Source organism: Homo sapiens, chromosome 9 (assembly GCF_000001405.40).
Source record: "Homo sapiens chromosome 9, GRCh38.p14 Primary Assembly".
Taxonomy (NCBI): domain Eukaryota; kingdom Metazoa; phylum Chordata; class Mammalia; order Primates; family Hominidae; genus Homo; species Homo sapiens.
In genome coordinates this window covers 104,566,449-104,592,093 of record NC_000009.12, presented here as the reverse complement: position 1 = coordinate 104,592,093, position 25,645 = coordinate 104,566,449, and the positions used below count along the sequence as shown (strand labels likewise).

The 25,645-nt window shown below is 35.5% G+C and overlaps 1 protein-coding gene, 1 long non-coding RNA gene and 1 pseudogene across 2 annotated transcripts in view; 1 reads left to right on the top strand and 2 right to left on the bottom strand.

Annotated features, from left to right (window-relative positions):
- LOC107987105 (uncharacterized) overlaps positions 1 to 25,645 on the top strand; it is a 217,429-nt gene that overhangs the window by 155,546 nt on the left and 36,238 nt on the right. The window lies entirely within an intron of this gene.
- On the bottom strand, positions 1,143 to 2,076 carry OR13D2P (olfactory receptor family 13 subfamily D member 2 pseudogene; annotated as a pseudogene).
- On the bottom strand, positions 21,964 to 22,926 carry OR13C8 (olfactory receptor family 13 subfamily C member 8). Its single transcript, NM_001004483.1, has one exon. The coding sequence runs from the start codon at positions 22,924 to 22,926 to the stop codon at positions 21,964 to 21,966; it is 963 nt and encodes a 320-aa protein (NP_001004483.1).

Sequence of the window (25,645 nt, the reverse complement as noted above, 5' to 3'; positions counted from 1 at the left end):
AAATGAGACTATTGCTTTTGAAAGAAATTGAAATTGTCAGTGTTCCATAAGAATTTATACAATTGATATATTTTCCTCAGCAATTGCTTATTTGATAATAATAAGCAGTAGGATTTTTGGTCTTACCTAGCCAAAATGATCTCTTCAGTATATTCTATTCAGACTTTATCTTCCCTTATTTTTCTCCATGTTTAAAAATCAGCTGTTATTTTACCAAAATCTTTTAGAATTGTAGTTTGGTAAAGGGAATAATGTATAAATTTCAGTTATCTCCCTGTATTAAATCAGGTACTTAGACCGTATTTTACCATCCTTTAAAATTTTTAATTCAACAGTTAATTATTGCCAACTGTTTTTAATTAACTTGACATTAGATTTTATGCGGAGGATAGTGAGCCATAGTTCTGCTATTGGGAAGAATTTCGGAAGGTAATAAATGATTAGAGTATAAAAGAAAAATCGCTTAGTACAGATAAACTCCAGGGCAGCACGGAGGAGGGAATAGCTAACTCTGGGAAAGCTTTGGACTGTGTTGCAGAGAATATGACACTTGACCTGTCCTTTATGAGATTGTTAGGATTTCACCTGAGAAGGAGAAATGTGAAAATGCAGATGGAATAGCATGTGCTATTGTCATTAGGTGTGAAAGAAAATGATATAATTTGGTAATTACATAGTAAATAGAACACAGCTTATGCAAAGAGGTAGGGGGAGGGAAAGGACAGGGAAAGAGGTTGAAATATGTAGCTGGAAGGGAAAGATGGGACCAGATCCAGTCCCTGGATAAAATAAAAAGCAAGAATAAAAGAACAAAAATACAAAATAGTTTTTTTTAAAAGAGGCTGAAAAATGTGTTTTAATTGTTAAAATTAATGAGCTGGATTTTCTTAGAAAGACTTACTTAAAATATTTTTCTTGTTTCCAAAAGTTTGCTCTCACAGACCACTTGTTTCTACATTTTAATGAAATCAGTCATTTTCATAAAGCAATATCGTTAAACTCTTAATCTTCAAATTTTTTCTAACTCTGAAATTCTGACTCAACATGACCTTAATTGCTTTTCTTCTGTCTATCTTTAAAAGTGTTGTCTCAAACTTGTGAGCGTATTTTGTGCATAAACTCAAAGGTGTCAGTGTGTCATCATTTCCTCCAGAACCAGGGTCTACTCATTAATTTCCTCATAGCTCCATGCACCTCTGTATTCCTCAGGCTATAGATGATAGGATTGAGCATGGGGGTGACTATGCCATAGAACAGGGCAATCAGTTTGTCAAAAGCAGAGTCTTTGGACTTTGCCTTCATGTACATGAAGAGGATTGTCCCATAAAACACAATCACCACTGTCATGTGGGCTGAGCAGGTGGAAAAGGCCTTTTTCCTTCCTTCAGCTGAATTGATTCTTAGTACAGTAGAAAGGATAAAGATGTAGGAGATACAAATCAGCAGTAATGGAGAAAACAAAAATATTACATTGCCCAACATTATAATAATCTCATTCAAGGAAGTATCTGTGCAAGCCAGCTTGACAAAGGCCAATATTTCACAAACAAAATGATTAATGACATTTTTTTCCACAGAAGGGTAACCGTATTGCAAGAACAGTTTCTGTCAATGAGTTGAGAAAGCCTAGTCCCCAAGAGACAGCCACCATCTGAATACAAAGTGCCTTGCCCATGATGATGGGATATCTCAGAGGGTTGCAGATGGCTACATAACGGTCATATGCCATCACTGCTAGAAGCACACACTCGGTGGATCCCATAGTGTAAGAGACAGACATTTGAATCACACATCTAGTGAAGGAGATGGTTTTCTTCTCTGATAGGAAGTGTATCAGCATTGAGGGGATGGAGGAGGATGTGTACCAAATGTCTAGGAAGGAAAGATTCCCAAGGAAGAAGTACATGGGTGTGTGGAGACGAGCATCCAGGAGTGTCAGAATGATCAAGGTGCCATTACCTAGGAGAATCACCAGGTACATCACTAAGCACATCACGAAAAGGAATTTTTCAGCTCTTGGGTACCCTGAAAGTCCTTGCAGAATGAACTCTATCTCTGTCCAATTGGTCCTTTCCATGTTATTTTTTCATACCTGGAGTTTAACAAGTCTGTACAGCATTAACATATGAAGTGAGAGATAATTGGTGTGGGAGGGGCAAGTGTATCTCCGCTAGCTAGAGTGGTGGTAACAGCTTTGAGGTTAGCTTCTGGGATTCCTTTTCTAGCTCATAAAGCAGTGAATTGAAGACACATGTTAGTTATATTGGTAGTTTATTAAAAATTGCAGGCCTCTGTATTCCATTTCTTGAGATTGTGATGCAAGAGGTATGAGGCAGGGAGGACTCATTTGCATTTTTAGCAAGCATCTGTTACTTCTCATGCAGTTGATCCACAGATCCCACTTTGAAAATCAATATTTTGAAGAGAGCATGCTTTAATCTGTTTGAAAAAGATTTGTAATTTGATTTTATACCATGCAAATAACAATGCCATTGGCTTAGTTTCTTATAGTTTACAAATATGTTCTTATATTATTCATTTTATTATAATTCTCTGAAGAAAATGAAGACTATTGAGAAACTTATATACAATTATAGTAAGGGAGGGAGTTGTTATGCAAAGCTTCATTTTTTTGTTTTTAAATCCCTTTTTTTAAAACTATACCTTATAACCCTCCCAAAATGATGTAAGTTCAATCGAAGGGGTGGGAATCAGGCATCTTTTCTTTTTTTATAATACTCTTCACATGATTTTAATTTACAACTGAGGAAGAGACCCAGCTATCTTGTGGAGTGCTTTCAAACTTTGGTCTTCATACAAATCATGTGGGGAATTTTGTAAAACATTCTGATTCAATAAATCTGTGGTGGTTCTGAGTCCTGCATTTATTAACATGTTCCCAGGTGATGCTGATATTGCTTGTCTACAGAACATACCTGAGTAGCAAGGCCTTTCAGACCATCTGACTCCAATATCACTGGAGTGCTTTGCTACTTCAATTTTGTGTAAAATAGCAATTGGACAATAGACAATGCTAAACTGAACACTGCTGAAACATGAAGATACCTCTGTGTAGTTTATTGCAATCAATTCTGGTTATATATGCAAGCAACCAAATTGCACAGAGAAGAACCTGCCTTTTACCTCTGTCCATATGAAATTCATTCCTCTTCTACTTGATGAATTTGCAGTTAGGGCTGGTATTTTTCTAAAGAAGGAATATTAGTCCAGTTCAGGCACCTGAGTAGTGCACCAAAGAACATGGAACAAATGACTTTAATCTGAAAAAACTTAAAGCGTAGGTATTAGCAGATTACCTTCTTCTTTACAGCAAATAAATCACAGAATATCATTTTGAAAACATCTCAACATCCTCATGGTATTCTATCTAGCTTTAAAATATATCCCTAGCAGAAAAAAATTGATACAATGAATGAATTTTGACTTAATATTTTAAACAAATGGCTTTGTTTCTGGTACAGGATTTGCCATTTCTGTGCTAGTCATTTGCCCACAAGTTGTGCTGCTTTCTATGAAAACTCCAGTTTACAATGGTCAGGCAACATAGTCAGCGTAAAAGGATGCTTGTATTTCTTTTCCTTTTTTTTGAGACGGAGTCTCACTCTGCCACCCAGTCTGGAGTGCAGTGGCGTGATTTGGCTCACTGCAACTTCTGCCTCCTGAGTTGAAGCAATTCTCCTGCCTTAGCCTCCTAAGCAGCCAGTTTATAGGTGCCTGCCATCATGCCTGGCTAATTTTTGTATTTTTAGTAGAGATGGGGTTTCACCATGTTGGCCAGCCTGGTCTCAAACTTCTGACCTCAAGTGATTTGCTCCCCTTGGCCTCCCAAAGTGCTGGGATTACAGGCGTGAACCACTACGCCTGGCTGGATGCTTATATGTCTATTGGCTATGGAAATGAGGGCTTTCAACTAGTTCAAGCTGCATCCCACTTTCTAGGCATAAATTACAAAGAAGGTAGAAAGTGTTAGGTAGGCCAGCATACACTTTTTTTGGTAGTAAGATAGGAATTTGAATGACTATAGCTGCATATATTAACCTACTCTGAATCTGTCAATGAAATTTTCATAGAGGCCTCTCTGCATTGAAGTTTTTTCAGGCAAGATATGAATCAGGTACACTGCCCTCTCTTTTCTTTTGTTGAAACATCTAAACATTGATTCCTATTTGGAAATTAATTTTGGAAAATAATTATGGTATAAATAGTATCCTAACAGCCCTAAGATGGTTGCTGCAATCATAATTTCACTTGCAAATACTTATAAGAGAAATCACCAGTCTGCTTCGATGCTTTCAAATGGGAAAAAAGGGATAATGGACGCTTTATAATAAATTAAAGTTTATTCAGATTAAAATATAGAATAAATTATTTGAATTACTCTTGCAATGCTGGTGTAATTTAAGAAGAGAGCAACAAACACCCTGTAGGCGTTGTGCCTACAGTTTTTCTGCCCTTAGGTTTAATTTCCTAACATGGATTCCCAGAATCTTCTTGGGAACAGGGAATGAAGATTGTTAAGATGCTGAATAGTTTCTAATAAATCACTTTCCATGGGACTTCTAGTATCAAATAATTTTATTCTTTCCAGATCTTTGCTATTATTGGATATTATCTTTTAAAATAGTTTTTATTTTTGTCTAATGTTAGTGGAATTGTTGAATAATCATAGTACACTCATGTAATGGGCCTTTACGCACCTATTAATATGATGTTTGTGAGGAGTTTGTATGAACATAAAAGTCATGTTTAAATTATCTTAAGATAATTAAGTTAAAACAGAAACAAAAGTTTATATTATAACATTGTGTGCAAAACCAAAACCTAAACAAACCAAGGTAACCCAGACAGAAAATAAAGACTGGAAAGAAATATCCAAAATGTGAATGGTTATTTTAGATAACTTTTTTCTACTTTTCTGAATATCTACATTTCTAAATAAATATATATAAAAGTAAAATGTAAACAAAAGTGAAAAATGCTGAAGCAGTTGTCTATACTTATGTTAGGAAGACTAACTCAGAGTAAAAAATGTTGAAACAATTGAAATAGTACAGCAATTTTGTCTAGAGATTGCACAATGTGGCTGAATTGTGCCGGTGTGTCCTTTCCAATTATCCACAGGAACTCACTAGTTTTTGTATTGGATCTAGAGCATTTATATCCCTACACTTAAAATCTTCTGGGTAACAGTCTTTATTATTTTCTGGAGGTAACCAAGATAAAGAACTTGAGTTCCTAACTTAATCAGAGGATCTCAAAGGAGATTGCAGACCATTAATGCCTAGAACAGAATTGTTACTAGAAGATGAAGTTTGTATTTGCAGCAGGCTTTAAACTAGCTGGAATCCTGCCACCTCAAATCCCTCTCTCCCAGCCCCTGTAAGAAACAACCAGTCTATGATTCAATGCTCTGGGGCTGCTTTAGTGTTGCAATAGGCCTAAGCAAAGTTTGTGACTTTTTAATTCAAGCCAGAAGTCAAACTCTAACTTTCTAGAAAAACATCTAACCTTGTTTTGCTTTGCTTTATTAACTTAGCTACTTGAAGGCCTAATATTTAAAGTACTAATTTTTTTTTCAGCAAAACCGTGTAACATCTGTATCCTAAATACTCCCTAGAAGAAACAATCTTGTAATCTCCAGCTTTTCTAAAGAGATCAGTTAAGACCATTGATATTACACAAAGTTTAATGGACATGCCAACTATCAATTTATAGATATACTCTAACCCTCAATTAATACACCATGAGGAAAGACATATTATTTTAGCTCACAAAGGGAAGGGCAATTTATAACATGTGAAGTATTAGTATGTATTTGACATTTCATATAATTTTTATCACTTAATTGTCAAAATAACCCAAATACTACTATGAATTTTTTTTTTTTTTTTTTTTTACAAAGAAACTAATTTGAGATTTCAAAGGATGGCCGAATAGCAACAGCTCCGGTCTGTAGCTCCCAGCGGGATCAATGCAGAAAATGTTCAATATCTGATAGTAGTAAAGGATACCACTGTTCTGCAGTGTTCACTTATTTTAAAGTACAAAAATTTTATAAAACCACAATTTAATTAGATGAACTTTCAAAAAGGGTCTTTATGATAATTATGCACATAGAGAATAAATTTACCCCTTTTGGAAACCATTTATAAAGACATTATCTACAATAATGACTTCAAATGAAAGCCTACCCCAAATTCCTTTCAGGTCTATTGTGGGAAATTAAGGGCTAGTATAGTGGAATTTGATTTATTATGTAAATAAGAACTCACAAAAATTTAATGTTTTTTCTTTTACCCTGGCTGCCTGGGGTTCGAACTAACACTCAGTTATAATTATTTCTCACCTCTCTTTCATATTACTTGTTGTTAATTCTATTTTTACTGCAAATACCTTTAATTATATGCTTTCTCAAACCCTTATTAGGCATAGTTTATATATGAATAATATATAAATTGCCGTGTGTTCTTTCTCCATGTTACTGTTACTTAAGACTTAGTGGACCAGATACTTGAGTACAATAACCATTAGCCTATTATTTATGAGTCTGTTGCATTGTAAACAACTTTCTTTTCCTCACATGAATTAATTCTGTGATCTCAAAAGAGACTGCACGCCACTGGATTATTTTGGAATTAAAGAGAAAAATTTAAATAAAATCTCCTGGTCTGGTAGGTGATGACTGAGTTTTTGCATTTTTTTCCTTGATATATATATTAAATATTTATATTTTTGAAATACCACAAGCAATGACCATGTCAACTCAAAAATCTTTGTTGATAAGATGTTTTTCTTTTGAAATAATCATAATAAAAACTTCTCTCTTTATCTTTCCTCCTGACTGGGTTTTAAAATCATCCATACCATTCCATGCTGTTAAGTAATAGAAAAAATTCCCAGGAATTTGAATTTCATTTGTACGTTTCAGATGATACCAGAAGATTCTCAATTTGGATACGGTGCCTCCTCTTTCCTAAAAAGAAATGTGAGGAAGAGTAGGCACAATCAGGCAATTTGGCTGTACGTGAATATTCTTAAGAGGATATCAAGGAAATAAAATATATTAAGCATAATGATCAATGATGTAACTCTAGTTTTCCCATAATTTGTTCTTAAGTTGGTGCTTACTCAAGGGAGACTCAAGTTTTTTGGAGGTGAATTCAGCAATTACTTTTACAAACTTCTTCCGTCCCTAAGGTTGTAAGTAAAAAAATTATAGGATTCTCTAGGGATACAGTTCCTGACTTCTGCATATTCCAAAGACTCAGTTATTCTGATCTAAAGAAAACCTTCCCCAGCCATACATTTCTTGGAGTATTCATTGAATATATCTGTATTTGATGGCATTATAATAAGTTGGGGCTCCAGTTAGAATGTCCGAAAGTTCTCAGAAAAGTTAAACTTTTCTCACAAATTCACAGATTTGATTTTTTTTGTACTGCGTAAATAATACTAAGTTAACTCTATAGAATCCTACATTTCAACTGTTTAAATTCTTTCTGTTTTTCATATTTTTGTTAATTCCAGACAACATGCAAACATTTTTCTTTATACCAGTAGAATTGCAGCAGAAATAAATTTTAGTTAGCGTTTGCCACTTTACATCAATAATTTTCTGTGATTTTGCATTTTTTATAGTGTATGTAATATTCTTTTTTAATATTTAAAGAATATTTTATTAAGTGGAATTACTATAGCCTACAATTTTCATATTATTGGGCATATTTTTTAATTTTTTGAGATTTTTATGTAATTACGATTGATATCTATGTACTTGGCTATCTAATCTGCTGTTGCTTCAACTAGAGATAAGATAAATTTCTGGAGATAGAACTACAGAATACAAAGATATGAATTATGAGAGAATTCTTAGTACACAGGCAGAATTGTTTCCCCCAATTACACTTCATATTTTTCTTGAAATATTTGCACAGAACATTCTTTGTACATTTTCTAGAACCAGAAAATATATGTATTCTTTTCTATTTGTATAAAATGTTACTTTGTTTTATATTTTATTTCTAAGATTGGTGGTTAGATTGAACATTTTCTTTGTGTTTATTATATTCTCTCTCCTCTTCAATGTATGAACTATTAATTAGATTATATGATTAACACTTTGCTCTTCAAATTTTCTGCAAATATCTTTCAAACTGTGTCTTTTCTTCTTATTTTTAACATGCTTTTAAAAAAATTGAGGTAAGATTTTAATATGATATGAAAAAGCCTCAATGAAATATTCTTCTATGACTTATTTTTTCGTTCCATCCATATGATAACTATGTTGTTTTATGTCTCAGGCATAGACCAGATTTACATTGTAAAAATATTAACTGATTTTTCCAAAATGGATTATTAAAGCTATGTCTCACAGTTCCCCCCTTATTCATTCACAAAATATTTATTTAATACCTGCTATGGGCTAGACTCTGTGATCAGCCTTGATATAAACTTGGACATGGTAGAAAAAGATAGGGTCATAAATTTTAAAGATAAACATAAGTAACTTTATATTACAGGTTATAATATTTCTTCTACCTTTACTTTTAATTTGCATCCTTTTATACTCAACACTATATCACAAGTAATTTTTTACATATTATCAAATACTCAGGGAACACATGATTTATAAAGGCCACATAGTATTCTGTTCTATTTATATCTCAAGCTTTATTTGATCTATTTTCAATTAATGGGGATTTATCTTCCTTTCATTTCTTTACTATTATAAACAATTCTGTAATAATAATTATAACATTCTTTAAGGGGGTGTTTCTATTGTTTTGCATAACCTTAATCACCTCAATAATGAATTATGAAAGTAGAGGTAAAGATAATTACATACATACTGAAATACAATCATACCAGTGAAATAATCAAGTTCTACATAATTGGATCTTAGAGGTGGAAATTATCTTAAACCTAGTCCTAAACCTTATGAGATGACAGAAACACATCTACAGTATGGCTGGTGACTACCTTACTTCTGCCTGCAGACCTAGTGGTGATTAGAACACTTCCTGAGGCCACACAAGTTATTTTTGTACAATTCTAATTATTAGAAAGTTATTTACAGTCAACTATATATATTATATATCTATAGGTATAGATATATAGATATGTTGATATATAACTGTCTGTATGCAACTCTTTTTCCCTGTAGAACAACAACAAAAAAATACAGACTTTTCTCATGACAGCTATTTTTTCTTTTTTTTTTTGAGACAGAGTCTCGCTCTGTCACCCAGGCTGGAGTGCAGTGCTGTGATCTCAGCTCACTGCGACCTCCGCCTCCCGGGTTCAAGCAATTCTCCTGCCTCAGCCTCCCAAGTAGCTGGGATTACAGGCGCTCACCACCGTGCCCAGCTAATTTTTTTTTGTATTTTTAGTAAAGACGGGGTTTCACCATGTTGGCCAGGCTGGTTTTGAGCTCCTGACCTCGTGATCCTCTCACCTTGGCCTTCCAAAGTGCTAGGATTACAGGAGTGAGGACAGTTTTTTTTTGTTTTTTTTTTTTTTTTTTTTAAGTATTTACAGATAGCTGTTCCTGTCCTGGTCTGGTCTATTGTTCTATGTTCCTTCAGCCATTCTCCATGTGTTTTTAAAAAAATAATTAAGTACTTGTATTGCTGAAGAGACTATTTAGGAATGTGAGGTTCTCTATGATAAATAAGGACCCCTCCTATGCATACTGCTTGTGGTTACTGGTTTTACAGGACTCTATGGAGCAAAGCACTCTCTGTCATGTAAGAGTTAAGAATGAACTCTTTAAGAGCACAGATTCTGGAATTAGCCCCACTTTGTCAAACACTGCTTCTATGATCTTAGGAAGGTTACTGCACCTCTATAAGCTTCAATTTCCTCATATGTGAAATTAGAAACTTAAAAATGCCTACCTGATGTTGTTATCCTGAGAATTAATGAGGTTATGCATATGAAGAATTTAACATCGTTATGGAGGCATAGTAGATACTCAGTAAGAGTGCTTGCCACTCTTCTAATTATATTGATTAGAAAAGTATTGATGACTGTAAATATGCACCTTGCTTTTACAGAAGGAGAATGACTTTGGAGTTGGAAATACATGGATTAGGACCTCAGTTTCCTGATTTGTAGCTTGATGACCTCTAATAAGCTATAAAATTAGTGTTATAATAATCTTGCAGGACTGTTATGTGGTAAAGTTTAAAGGGTGATTATCTTGATTCTTGGCATTTAATAGGAATTCCTTAAAAAACGGTTAACATTGTTACATTTGATTATAAATCAGTGAATCTGAGTATAGTTTGCTTAATATTGATGCCAAAAATAATCACTTTCAATTGATTTTGGTAAATAAAACAGACATGAAATCATTTTGTTTCAGTATGAAGTTATATAAATCAGTGGAAAGAATATCAAAATGAATCACTGTTTCCAAAGAATGAAATCTATTCCTGATGAGTTGAGAAAAATATGTATTGCTTCTAATAGACAAAATTATAAACTTATTGAATTTGATTAAACAAAGTATTAGCAAGTTGTCTAAGATAATTTCATCTAAATTAGAAGAGGCTCTTTTTTTTTGGTAAGTGTATTCACGTCAATGTAGTTCAGCAAGCACGTTAGTAGGCACAAAGATGAGTAGGACACAACTCTGACGAGTCCTGAGTTCCTGCTTATTATGGCATTACTGTCAAACTCATAGAAGCAGAGGTAGAATGGTGGTTGCCAGGGGTTGGGAGTGGGGAAAATGGGGAGGTATTGGTCAGATGGTACAAACTTCCAGTTATTAGGTGAACAAGATCCAGCCTGGGCAACATGGTGAAATCCCGTCTCTACAAAAAATTAGCTGGGCAAGGGGGTGCATGACTGTAGTCCCAGCTATGGGGATGCTGTGGTGGGAGGATCACTTGAGCCCAGGAGATTGAGGTTGCAGTGACCCGTGGCTGGGTGACAGAGTGAGCTCCTGTCTCGGAAAAAAAAAAAAAAAAAGATGAACAAGATAACTAAAGTACAGCATAGGTGGTGATGGATGTGTTAATTAATTTGATTTTGATAATCATTACACAATGTATACATATATACCTTGAATATATTCAATCTTGACAATTGTAAATAAGATAAAATGGCATTTTGCATCAGCTTCCTAACTGGTCTCTCAACTTCCACTATTCCCTTCCTTCAGTGTATTTTCCAGGTAGTTGCATGGCAGATATTCTCAAAATGTGATACATTTCAAACCACTACTCTGCTTATCAGCATGTCATACCAGCTGAGATTTGTTAAATGATTGATTGTTGCCTATGTCTTACTTCTTAATTAAAAAATAAATCCCTGTCAGGGCCTAGTTTCGCAATCATAGCAAACTGGGAAATGGTCACAACTTGGTGTCTTGTGAGAATACTCTTCTGGACAGTGAAATTTGTCTCAAAATGAGAGAAAATGCTACAATCTGACTACATGTTCTTCTTTTTCACATGCAGCACAGGTTCCTATAAAATAAACCAGAAAATGTTTGAGAGAAGCATGGCTCATACTTCCAAAGCTCAGGACTGTCATTCCAGCAACATTCACTAGTATGTCCTAGAGCCTCAGCTCCCTAAAAGACCTGAGCTCTTTCAAACCAACCCAATAGCCAGGGCTGAACTAGAGCATCATGCTTCTCCTGGAGCTCTGCGTGAAGTGGGGGTGGGTGAAGAGCATAGTATGGCAGAAACACTGGAGATGGAAGGTCAGCATGGTCCAATTCCCTTCTCACTGCAGATGCCTGTGTCAAATGCTACCAGATGTCAAAGGGACAGATACAGATACATTTTTAGTTGCGATTGGTGCTAAATAATGTTAATAATGGTATAATTATTTGAGACATTCAAATTTAAGTTCTCAAATTTCATCACAAATTTGAGCAATCATGACAAAAAGTTAAGCAGCATGATCAACCCTTGAACACTTGCTCACATTTGTGTTATATTCAATATAATATACTCTCAATGAAGCATCTCATAGATACTTATGATACAACCTCTGCTAGAAAGCTTGGGTATCCTCACTTAATAGAATATCACCTATATAGATTCAGATGAATAAACAGTTTGTTGTTTGGGGGTGGTCATAGTTTCCACAGTGATTCTGAATCAGCATGATGGATAGTCAGATTACAAAGGCATGCTGATTAGTATGATCATTTACTTACCATTCTTTGTTTATTTGCCAGTCATCTTACTGGCCCTGTGCTCTTACTTTGTGCCATCTTTAAGTGTCTTTGTAGATTACGTAAATCAGAGTTGGGAAAAAAAGTCTTAATGAATCCTATCCTTGGTGCTGCAGGATTGTCCTTTATATTGTTCCATCCCATGGCTGTCCTGGATATGTGAACAGTGCAGGAGAAAAAACTCTCCATTCCAAAAGTTGGATCCATTCTATTTCCTTACAACTCTAATTCTTTTTTTTTTTAAATCATAACATTAATTATGTAGGCCCTGAATTAATTTCCCAGGATGAAATTGAAATACCTGAATAATTTAATGTATTCTGGGGTCACAAACTCAAATATCTTCACTGCTATGCAATTGATGTATTTGAATGAAACAGACTGGATGTGAAGCAATATAGAAGGGTGAGGACTGTGGCAAATCTCATTAATTCCATGTGACCAAACAAAATACATGTGTTATCATATTCCCTTTCTCACTAGTTTGTGACTCTATGTCTCTATTGGAATAAGTCTTCTTTAGCCTGTCTAATTACATTTTCTAAATGACTTGGTGATGGCAGTTCATAGAGGACCGCTCTCTTTACCAAGAATAAAGTGATTATCCATTTTAAATTTTCCACATGATGATCTCATACGCTCCTTTTTTATTGTTTAGTTACAACTAAAGAGGAGAAATCAATCTCCTAGGAACAGCCCTAGATTCCCTTCAGAAAACTTGTGGAGGGAAGAGTGTTGTTAAAAAGTTACAAGTTCACTTTAACAAGCTTGACTTTAGACTGTTAGCAGGCACGTGGGATATCATCCCTATGTAACCTATTTGTACCAGAGAGAAGTAGGTCAGTCAGCTTTTAATGATGTCCTTTGAGATGTAGTTGCCTGCTCAGGTGTAAATATTAGACTGTGTTTTATATTCCTGTGGGAGAAAATTACCAGGCTAGAGATAACAAATAGAAAAGAAATGGTCTTCCTGAGTTGGTTGGCCTGTCTGGAAGCACTCTGTTTTACACGGTTAAAGGTCATATAGAGCTGTACATTGTCATTATCTATTTGCTACAGAGGTGGATAGAGAGGTCTTGGCAGGTCTTTTAGCAATCAGAAAAAAATGGAGCGCTACGGTGCGGTAATAAGAAGTGTATGAATTTTGGAATCTCTTTAGTTGCACTCCACCCTCCACAGTGTGGCTTCCTAGCTGTATGACCTAGGGCAATTCATATAACTTTTTTGGACTACCTGTTCTTTATTGTGTAAATTATGTATATCTTCAGGTTTTTATGAGGATTAAATGTATTTGTGACATAAATGATGTCTAATGTGTTCCCTTACCTGAGCTACAGAAAACATAAGTCACTGAAGTGGTTGTTTCATTTTTAATTAATTTGCAACGAGGAAAAGTCGCCTTCTTCGTTTTCCCATTTCTCTAGAAACCTTATGGATGTTGGTCCAGAGACAGTCAAAATAATTTCCTCTCTAGGCTCAGCAAAATAATTGCTCTATCGTCTTTGTTTAGAGTCCTACTGATCTTGACAACTTTGGACTTTTCACTGGTGTAGAGTTTCCTCTCCAATATGCCCAAGAGGAACCATTTCTGAACTCATTGGGTCAGAGTCTTTCTTTCTACACGGGTATCTCTGATATTTTTGATGTTAGTATCTCTAATATCCATTCTTAGAGTTAGGTTAGTCCCTTTGGCTTTGGAGGCTCTTCATTTTGTGATCTCTGAGACTACATAGCCATGCCTCTTTTTCCACCCCTTGGACAGCCTGCTTGCCTCTCTTTTAGTGCTTGTATTTCTTTCTTCTTTAGAAGGTGGGGTGAAGTTAGTAACGGTTGCTCTACTTTTCTCATATTCTGCATTACCTATAATATTTGCATCAAGAATTACACCATCTATAGCATCAAATGGAATGTCCATCATTAGTGTTTTAATTTGCATCTCCATATACCGGCTGGATTCCATCAACCTGGTGATTCGCTATCACCTCAAGTAAACCTGCTTATAATTAACCTCCCCTATTTCTCCACCTCCTTGATTTGTTGAACTAAGCATCCTTTCTCTACAGTGAGAGAAATGCTGTAAATGTGGATGAGTGAGCTGGTACATTTAACCTTCACAGTACATCAGAAAACTGAGGTTCAAAGACATTAAATCACTTGCATAGGCAAGCAAGATAGATGTGGAGGTGAGATTCCAATCTAAGCAGTTTGACAACATATTTAGTCTCCTTACCACTAAGTTTTTCTGTCTCTCTTAATTAACAAAAATTTCTTGCACCCTCTCATCTTCCCTAAAGTACATCGCGCTGAAAACCCATGACCCCAGGTTTATTCAGCAGTTTTTCTGGTTAAAGCCCTTGGTCCTAGCGCTTACTGTCCTTTACCTGTGAGTACAGGGATATCCATAAATTTCTCAAGAGGATGATGCAATACTGGGATCAAGAAAAGGTCAAACTATTATCCACTCTACATCACGGCCACAATCATCACAGGACTTGGTCATCATAGTCCCCCGAATTAATCTAAGTATCCAGTTTAACAGCTTTAGAGAAATACCAAGGTAAAATCCAGTAACTTAACTCTCTTTATTAACTCTCTTGCCTTCTAATACCTTTGGATTATTTTTCATGACTCAGAAGCAACTGGACTTTCAGATGTTTCCCTCCTGACTAGCAGGCATCTAGAGAAAAGAAACATAGCTTTTCCACTTAGAACCTCTAGGAATCTTAGTCTCTTCAGCTGTAAATTAAGAACAAGAAAATATAATTTTCACTATTACTATGAAGATTTAATTAGAAATAGTATAATATGAATAAATAGCAAAATGCTTAGCATATCCTCTCTGAATTCAAATTACTTAGATTGTTCCTTCTCATTGTCTTTCTTTCCTTTTGTTTCCTTCCTTTTTTCTTCCTTATGAAGTCAAGTTTTCTACAAGAATTTAAGTATAAACATTTTCCAGAAAAAGTTACTTTTTCTGAACCTGGTAAAGGTTAATATGCATTATTCAAGTACACTTTATTTCTTAGCAGGATTAATAGTGAATGTATTTAACAAAGACTATGGCATAGCTGCCACCCGATCAGAATGGACACCAACTATAAACAAGTAATACAGCTGTACTACTGGCTGCAGTCTTAAGCATGGTTTTATGAGATTTTAATTTGGGGGTTGTAATTTTAATTTTTTTGTTTGTAATTTTTTTCTCTTACCTATGAGCAAGGGCTGACACTGCTGGCACACACTAATTACTATGGCCACACTGGTTGTTTATGGCAAATATTTATTCTAATTTACTAGAACACTTGCCACAGAAGTTAAATATTTTGAACATCGCTGCTACTCAATCACTTAGAAGTGCGTTTTAATTGTCTCAGGTTATGGAACTTTTAAATTAATTAATTACCTTTAATTTAATCATATATAGGAAAGAGAATATGACTGTTTAATATTGCTTCCTTAAAATTTACTGATTCTTGCTTTCAGCCTAACATAATATCAATTTTTGCAAATGTCTCAAATGTGTTTTAGAAGAATCTATATTCCATAATAGTTGGGCTGATAAGCTCGTTAATGTTTTTGTTCAAATCTGTTGATCCTTATATTTGTCTGTTTATTCTTTCAGTGCTTAAGATGATATGTAGTTATATTGAGTTTTCTTTTATATATTGAGGCTGTTTTATTAGGAGAATAAAGCTTACAATTCATGTTTTACTGATTAAATAAACATTTATCATAATGCAACTTCCTCTTTTACTTCTAGTAATGCTTTTTGATCTTAAATCAATTTTGTCACATATTAATATAGAAACATCAGCTTTTGATTGTTACTTGCCTAGTATACTTTTTCCTTCTTTTTACTTCAACCCCTATGTTGTTGTATGTAGTAGAAAACATACATATTAAAATAAAATGAAAGTTATGTATTCCCTTAAAATAAAATATTATATGTCTATTATAATAATACTACTTTAAAAATTATGAGTTTAGTTCATTTACAATGACTGGTTATTGTGAGTGTGGACTCTCACTAATGGCGGTTTACTTCTGTTGTGTTGAGTGATTTGTGAGTGTAAATTCAATTTTTCTTTGGGTATCCTGCAGAATTAAACTGAAGATTATTTCCTCCAGAGAGCATTTGATCTGCTTTTGCTGGGAATAAGCAAGTGGTACTAACGTGAAACCATTAAGTGCTGCTGCTAGCTTATATGTTACATGTGTGAGCACTGGAAAATGTGACTCATCTTAGGACATTTGATCTCCAGCTTTTAAGAAATTATGCTGTTGATAGTGTTAAAACAAAATACTTTACTTCTATCTCCCTGAAAATTGCTATGATAAATTTTCAAGTCTATGCTTTCTAGGTTGTGAATAGCTTATTACTGAATGTTGTGAAATTGTGTAAGTACATCTTGTAAAATCATCCACAGTGACCCTGAAAAGCCCCTTTGGCCCTAGTAGAGGGTTCAGGTCTAATGGAGGAGTCCCAGATTCAAATCTCCAAATTTTTATTTAAAAATCCATCTGCAGAGCTGATACTGGCATTTTCCAACAATCTAATCTTATTACTGCCTTTTTTGCAGGTCATCTCACTTTGTTTCATCTCATAGCTTTTTCCTTTATTTGTGTGTTTGGGTTTGTGTGTCAGGAATGGCTGTAGGATGGTTAGGATGTAATAACAAATCCTTTCAACCTCTGTGGCTTTTTGCAATAATGGTTTACTTATTGATTCTGCTACGTGTATAATGTGTCATGAGTGGCAGGAAGGTTCTGACAGTCACTCAGGGACATAGACTAATGGAGGCTCCATTTTGAAATGTACTTTTCCACCTGGCAAGGGGAAGACGGAGTGGAAGGATCTCTCACTGGCAAATAAATATTTCTATCTGGGAACAATAAATACCACTTCCATTAGAACCTCACTGGTCACAGCAAAGAAAATTTGGGTCCAGTTTCAAGGGGAATAGCAATTTTTCTGTATTCCTAAAAGGAGAACCAGAATGTGCAGCGAACAGCACTAATGACTACCACAGGGCATGAAATAAGAGGTTCCTTAGGGAAAATATCCACTTTTTGTAATGCCAAATTTATATCAATGTCAGTTTTATTTGATATCCAATTGTATTACAGTTAGAGGGATCCTAAAATATTTATTGTTTCATAGCAACAGATGCAGTAAGCAAAGACTGTGCCTTAAGCATGGAGATTGAATGTAGTTCAGATTTCATTTTGGTAGTATTAGTTAGAAAGACCTATTTAATTTACTATCCTATATGAACAGCAGAAATGAAGAACGATTTTTTAAATTTTCTTTCATGAGTGTGAGTTCTTATTCTTTTGAACATTCTGCTTTATTTCATTTGGGATGGAGACGAAGGAGAATTCTAGTCAGGCACTTGGAGAAAATCAAAAGGATTAAATATATCAGTAAAGTGCTAGAGTTCCCCTTTTAAATCTGTTGTTTGGCTTCAGTCATCTTTTGATCTATCTTTATGAGATCTTCTGTAACTAGCTAAAAATTTTAGACTTTTTAAGGAAACTGTGGCCATGTGTATTAGTTTGTTTTCACACTGCTATAAAGAACTACCTGAGACTTGGTAATTTATGAAGGAAATAGGTTTAATTGACTCACAGTTCCACAGGCTTAACAGGAAGCATGGTTGGAAGGCCTCAGGAAACTTACAATCATGGCAGAAGGCAAAGGGGAAGCAAGGTGCATCTTCTCATGGTGGAGAGAAAGAGAGCACAATGGGGGAAGTGCCACACACTTTAAAACCATCAGATCTCATGAGAACTCACTCACTATCACAAGAACAGCAAGGGGGAAATTTGCCCCCATGATCCAATCACCTCCCACTAGGCACTTCCTCCAATTTGACATGAGATTTGGGCGGGGACACAAGTCCAAACCATATCACCATGTAACCAGTCATAAAATTAATGGTGTGTGGGAAATATGGGCAAGGACAATGGACAATGTCATATTCAGGCTTGGTTAGGGAATTCTTTTTTTCTGTAGGGCTGGCTTAAACACTTAAAAGTGATTATGACATAGATATACTTTTATATTTGGTATTTCATTTAGCATTATATCATTTTGTGTCAGATGCTCTAACAGCAGAGAGCAATATAATAGGTACTCTAAACTCCTATGTACTAAAGTGAATTTATGGACTACCTGTTTAGAACATGCTAAAAAACTGTGAAACCACTTCTTTGTACACATTAGTTTGTCACACACTCCCAGGATCTGTGAGAGAAAGTGAAGAATGTAGTAGAGTTTGAACCTCAGTTGTGTGAATTTTGTAGGGGCAAAGATGATTATGATGTACATTCTACCATCACCATAATCTCTTCCTTCTCTACCCCCAACCCCACAACCACCTACAAGGGAAGGTGATCTTTCAAGAGAGCTATTTATAAAGCATCTTAAAATTCAAGGGACTGGCATTTCTTACTGGGGAATATTGTCTTGGGCTGAAGCTGCCCACGCTTAGCAGCAGAGCATGGAGAAATAACAATGTAGGGAAAGGAACTGTGTTTTCAGAGTTTAGTGGAACAAAAAAGTCTGTGCATTTCCCAAGGGCCAGATGTTGACAGTATTGTAAGCAGTTGAGTGGAATAGTTCTGTAAAGAAATTCCTTTAAAACAAGTGAACAAATGTCCTTTCTTCTCCCTCCAAAATAAACCAAAAAGAACATGCAGGTTTACAAGAAAATTTTAGGCAGCCTAACCACATAAGCTAACATAGCATTTTAATTCACTTACTTATTTTTTAAAGTGTATTTTTGAATTACCTTCTGTGTATGTGTGTGCATTGAATTGCTGTTTGGTATTACTTTTTTTTTATCCTGAAGAACTTCCTTTAGTATCTTCATAAGGTAAGTCTGCCTGCAAAGAATCATCTCAATTTGTTTATCAGGTAACACGTTTATTTCACCTTTATTTTTGAAATATGGTTTTGCTGAACATGGGCTTCTTGGTTGACATTTATTTTTATTTTTGTTTTTTATTTCTTCTTCCAGGACTTTGAATATGTTATCCAATTGCCATATAGCCTCAATTGTTTCTGATGGGAAGTTTGCTGTTAATCTTATAGTGGCTCCCTTACACATGATGAACCAGTTTTCTCTTGATGTTTATGAGGTGTTTTTTTTTTCTTCTTTATCTTACAATATTTTGACTATGGTGTATCTGAGTGTAGATCTCTTTTTAGTTTACCTTACTTAAAATTCATTGATCTTCTTGGATGTATAGACTAGTGTTTCATCAAATTTGTGATGTTTTTAGCAATTACTTAAATAAGTATTTTTTTCTGCCTTCTTCTTTCTGTTATTTCCATTATGTGTGTCTTGGTACTCTTAGTATTGTCTCACATTTCCCTGAGGCTCTGATTATTATATAATGATTATATAATTATTATAATTATTCCATTTGAGAGTGTACTAAAGAGACTTTTAATAGTCTACAGTTTAAAAACAAGAAAGCAACTGCAGAAGAAAAAGAAAATGTCTTGCTTGACCCAGTCTATTGCTTATTATCCATCTGATTTGCTACATTTCTCAAGCAGATAGTCGCATATTTCATTGCTTTTAAAGATACCTCAAGAGAGACTAAAAACTTGATAGGCCTTATAATTTACCAGAAATAAGAGCCAAGTGACAGACTTAAAACTCTGAGGATATGGTGCTGGTAGATTATTAATTCTGGATTATGGAGAAAAATAGATGGAACTAAAACCAATATTGGAAGCAGCTAATTGTCATAGTGAAGAACTAAAGCTGGGGTGATGCTGACAGGAATGGGAAGCAAATAGGGAGGGGCAAATCCCTTACTTTCATCGAAGCTTTCATTTACCCTCTAGCACTTCTTCTGGTAGAGTCTAACAGAAGCTAGTTAACAAAAGAGAAATGAAATGTGATTTTTAGTGTGCCAACCCTAACTAACAAGGCAGAACATAGAAAAGTAGATTCGAAGCTAAGAGAGTTAATAGCATTAGTTATGCCCTAAAAAAAAGGATAAAAATTGCATGCCAACTCAAAGCTTTAAGACTTATTAAAGTATACCCAACACTAAAAATAATAAAATAGTTGATGTGTATTGGGGATTTTGGATTTTCCAGGCACTATTAAGTGCTATGCATGAATTAACTTATTATGTTATGAAATTACAATAATTGCCTGTTAACACATGGGAAGGTATTGTGCTCTTACTCTCACAAGTTAGAAGTAGCTCTAGTCTTTTACTTTGGATTTCTGTTTTACATTTCAACTACCATAGACTCCTCAAAGATCTGTAGGTAAAGGGAATGCTTTCTTCTATTGACCATCACTGACTCAATTCCTTCAATGCAGGTGGGACTTCCTCACATGGGTGCTGCCCCACAGGGAGCATAAATAGAGATGATCTCACTTTTGAGCCATCTCTGTCTTATCCCTCAGTGCCCAAAACCCTGTGCTCCTTAGTACATTGGATAACTTGACTTAATTTCTTCTGCCACTTCTTATACTCATGTTGCAATTTTTGTCAGTCACTAGTTCTGTCTAGTTTTTCTACTACTTAGATTCTGTGTGATCTAATGTAGAGTAGAAAAAAAGTCCTTATTTCAGCCTGGTCTCTTCTCAAAGTCCAAGAGTAGCACTATGCTACCAGGCTATCTATGTTTTATTAAATTAAAACTTAGGACGCATTACCAGGGAACTCTTTCATTTATCTTAGTCTTATTATAAATCAAATTCAAGAAAAGTTATGGAAAATAAAAGGTGATGCCTTAGCTATTAAGGAGTGTATATGACTAAATGTCAATACAGTTTATTTAGAAGTATTTAATCTAATCAATTTCTGATGAATAACCTTTGCTACCTCAGATACCACAAACATACATTTCTCGTTTTATATGTGAGGTGGCTCACCTATTTGTTCAAAAATATTTATTGAGCACCCATTATGTGTCAGGCTCTATTACAGGATTTTTTGGATGTTGTAGGGTAATAAACAGACAAGATCCTACCCTCAGGGAGCTTATATGTGTAGTGGACAATGTACAGTAAATAAATGAACAATTAAAAATGAATATATAATACATCATGTGGTGATTAATATTTACTTTGCATACTAATAAATAATGAATTTAATATAGGTCATAAATTGCTTTTTCAAATGCCTTTTGCCTTTATTATTTTCCGAAGATTGGAGAGTGATTATTTTCTGCTCAGGCTTCCAAAGAGATTTTCAACATTTATCCATGATAGTATGTTTTAACACCAGGAGCATGTTTTATTTCTATAGTTATATATTTTTAAACAAAAATCTAACAGTAAAAGAGAAAATATTTCTGTTTTGAGACGAAGTCTCGCTCTGTCGCCCAGGCTGGAGTGCAGAGGTGAGATCTCGGCTTGCTGCAACCTCCTCCTTTCCCGTTCAAGCAATTCTCCTGCCTCAGCCTCCCAAGTAGCTGGGACTACATACCCACGTCACCACGCCTGTCTAATTTTTGTATTTTTAGTAGAGACAGGGTTTTGCCATATTGGCCAGGCTGGTCTCGAACTCCTGACCTCAGGTGACCCACCTTCCTTGGCCTCCCAAAGTGCTGGGATTATAGGCATGAGCCACTGTGCCTGGCCCAAAAATATTTCTACCATATGGTTTTGAATGCCACATGGCAAAATTTGTTTTCACATGGTAATTTTATCTTTCTGAATTTTATGTCTGCAGCAGCATTGAATATTAAGTCATGTAGTATAAATCAGTATTCATTTTCCATCAGAAAAGTTTTTCCTACACAGTATGTTTTTGACAGCAGCCTTTACATCCTTGTTTCGCAGACTATAGATGAGAGGATTAAGCATGGGAGTCATCACTCCATAGAAAAGGGAGATGAGGGCCTCAATGATGTCTTCATTACCTGAATCAACAGAGGCTTTAGACTCAGGCTTTGCGTACATGAAGAAGATGGTTCCATAGAATATAATCACCACTGTCAGGTGGGCTGAGCAGGTGGAGAAGGCCTTATGTTTTCCTTCAGTGGAAGGAATCCTCAGAATAGTGGCAACAATAAATATGTAAGAGATGGAAATTACTAACAATGGAATAACCAGAACAATCAGATTCGACCCTGTCATACTAATCACATTGATTGAAATATCAGCACAGGCCAGTTTCAAGATAGCCAGAATTTCACAGACAAAATGTTTAATGACATTATTAGCACAGAATGGTAACTGCATTGCAAAAGCTGTCTGCACTACTGAGTCCACAAGCCCAGTGACCCAGGACCCAGCTGCCATGGCCACATAGGCACCCTTGCTCATGATGACAGGGTATCTCAGTGGGTAGCAGATGGCCACATAGCGGTCCAGTGCCATCGTGCCTAAGATCATGCACTCCGTGGCCCCCATGGCAAAAGAAATAAACATTTGCACCATACACCCAGAGAAGGAAACCTTTTTCTTTACTGCCAGAAAGCTGGCAAGAATTAGTGGGACAGAGGAACTTGTGTAGCAAACGTCGAGGAAGGAAAGATTACAGAGGAAGAAATACATGGGGGTGTGCAGGTGAGAATCAAAGATGATAACTGAGATAAGGACTCCATTTCCAAGCAGGATCATCAGGTACATCCACAAAATTAGAACGAAGAAAACTGTCTGGAGCTTTGGGTGGGCAGAAAGCCCTACCAGGAAAAATTCTGTCGACGTGGAATCGTTGGTCCTTTCCATATTACATATACTGATCTCCAACAGAACTCTGTGAATGATAGAACAGGAATATGTTAATACAGTGTCTGTGAGAGCTACTTTTAAGAATCATATTCTGTATTATTGCAGTTCTGTTTTTGGATGCAACAATATAAGTTTGGGGACAATTTCTTCCTGTAAAACCCAGGCCACTAGAGTAGGAATCCTAACCTGTCTCAGAGTTAAGAGAGAACACATGATTATAGGACCTTTGGATCCCAATCCACTTTATTGCTGTTTCCACAAGTTCTGCCTCTTAACCCATTGGCTGCAAATCAGTGTTCTACAGCCTGGATTCAGCAGACAGGTGTGCTTTGTTTGGCAGTGATTGTCTGCACTGTGTTTAAATTTGAAATAGAGATCAACATTCTTTTTTTTTTTTTTCGACACGGAGTCTCGCTCTGCCGCCCAGTCTGGAGTGCAGTGGCGCCATCTCGGCTCACTGCAGGCTCCGCCTCCCGGGTTCACGCCATTCTCCTGCCTCAGCCTCCCGAGTAGCTGGGATTACAGGCGCCCGCCACCACTCCCAGCTAATTTTGTTTTTGTATATTTAGTAAAGACGGGGTTTCACTGTGTTAGCCAGGATGGTCTCGATCTCCTGACCTCGTGATTTGCCCTCCTCGGCCTCCCAAGGTGCTGGGATTACAGGCGTGAGCCACCGTGCCCGGCCTAGAGATCAACATTCTAATCAACAGATATGGTATAAAAATCTGTGCCTTCAGCTTGTCTTTGAATAAATTAGAATATTTGAAAACTTTAGACCTGTTTCTGTCATGGAGCTTAGTTATATTAATAACTGACCCATTGGATCCAACGCATGTCCCTCCATTCTACCAGACTACAATCCTCACTCTCTTGTCACTGGAGGTGAATATAAGTTATCAATTAACATGTTAGTCTCATGTTATTCTCAATTGTTGGTCTCAATTGTTTATATTACCTGGCAGGATCTTATATGGATTTGGAATCTTGACTTATGGCTGCACGGCCAACTTATCCATTAGGCACAGTACTCCGACCATATTGTGAAAAACCTAGGAAAATGTTTTGATTTCTTTTAAAATATGAAGAAAAACGTTAACTTTAAAGTTTTAATATATACTATATTTGTTTTTGTAACAATGCAGAAGTAAAATATGACTTTTAAATCTTTATGGAAATAAGGCCCCACAAAGGCCAAAAAAAAAAAAAAAAAAAAAGTGCCTAGGGCCCATCAAAATCATAATGTGGCCCTGTGTGGTTGAGCATCTTTTGAAAACTCAGTCTGGTCTACTGGGGTATAGTAGTGGTTATGTATCTGCATATGACCTCTTTGAGGAGAGTAACCTCGTTGAGAAAAGGAACATACCTTCATACTCCTCCAGTATGTTTTTTCAGTACAATGAGGAAGTATTCATTCAAAGAAATGATTTTTAAAAAATTGAATAAATTAAAATTTACAAAGCCAATTTTATCACTGGCTTTGATTAAAATATGTAATGGTGTTTATTGTAGCCTCTACCTAATTTATTTTCAAGCATGCAACAACTAAAGAATCAATTGTGATAATAGTGCTTTTATTCAAAATATATACATTGAACTGAACCAATGATGTCTAACCATTCATTATTGAAAAATAAAATTTATACAGAAGTGTAATATATAAAACAAATAAAAAGGAAAATTTCTCCAGTTGAAGTTACACTGGTGTACAGGGGAGAATAAAACACCATTCTTTACTTGTTTATTCACTCTTACTCCCTCAGTTAAGTTTAAGAGGATTCCAGGGAGCATAGTTTTAAAATCGTCAATGCAATACATAAAATCCTTTAATCAACAACAAGAATAATAAGATAGTAATTTATGTATTGATTATGCCAGATACATTTCTAATTTTTTTAATTCATAATAACCCAAGGTAATGGGACTATTATTGTAGGAGATAAGAATTATCCTTTCTTAAACATTTGGTAAACATCAGTAAATTATGGTATGAATAGACTTAAGGAAAAAAGTAGTAATTATTTCAAAAGATGCAGAAAACACATTTAGTAAAGTTCAATTTGTAATTTTTATAGAAACTATCTGAAATCCTCAAGCAGAAGGTGACTTTCTGAACTTCAAAGAAAACCATATACCAAAAAAAGATATTAAGTTATTATTCACTAATACTTGATGGAGACAGTTTATACATTCTTAAAGTTTTTTTGTTTTGTTTTGTTTTGTTTTTTGAGACAAAGTCTTGCACTGTCGCCCGGGCTGGAGTGCAGTGGCACGATCTCAGCTCACTGCAACCTCCGCCTCCTGAGTTCAAATGATTCTCCTGCCTCATCCTCCTGAGTAGCTGGGATTACAGGCATGCACCACCATGCCCGGCTAATTTTTGTATTTTTAGTAGAGACAGGATTTCACCATGTTGGTCAGGCTGGTCTTGAACTCCTGACCTCAGGTAATCCACCTACCTCGGCCTCCCAAAGTGCTGGGATTACAGGTGTGAGCCTCCGCACCCGGCCATTTTATACATTTTATTAAGATCTGGAATTTGATAAGGATGCCCACTCTTATAGTTACTCTTTAATGTAAAATTGATAGCCTTGGTTAAAATCATAAGACAAGAAAATGGCTGAAGTACAGATTAAAGACAAAAATTTGTAAGGCAAGATGAGAAAAATTAGTAAGACTTCTGGAAGCAAGCTTAACAGAAAAATCAATAGCTTTCTCT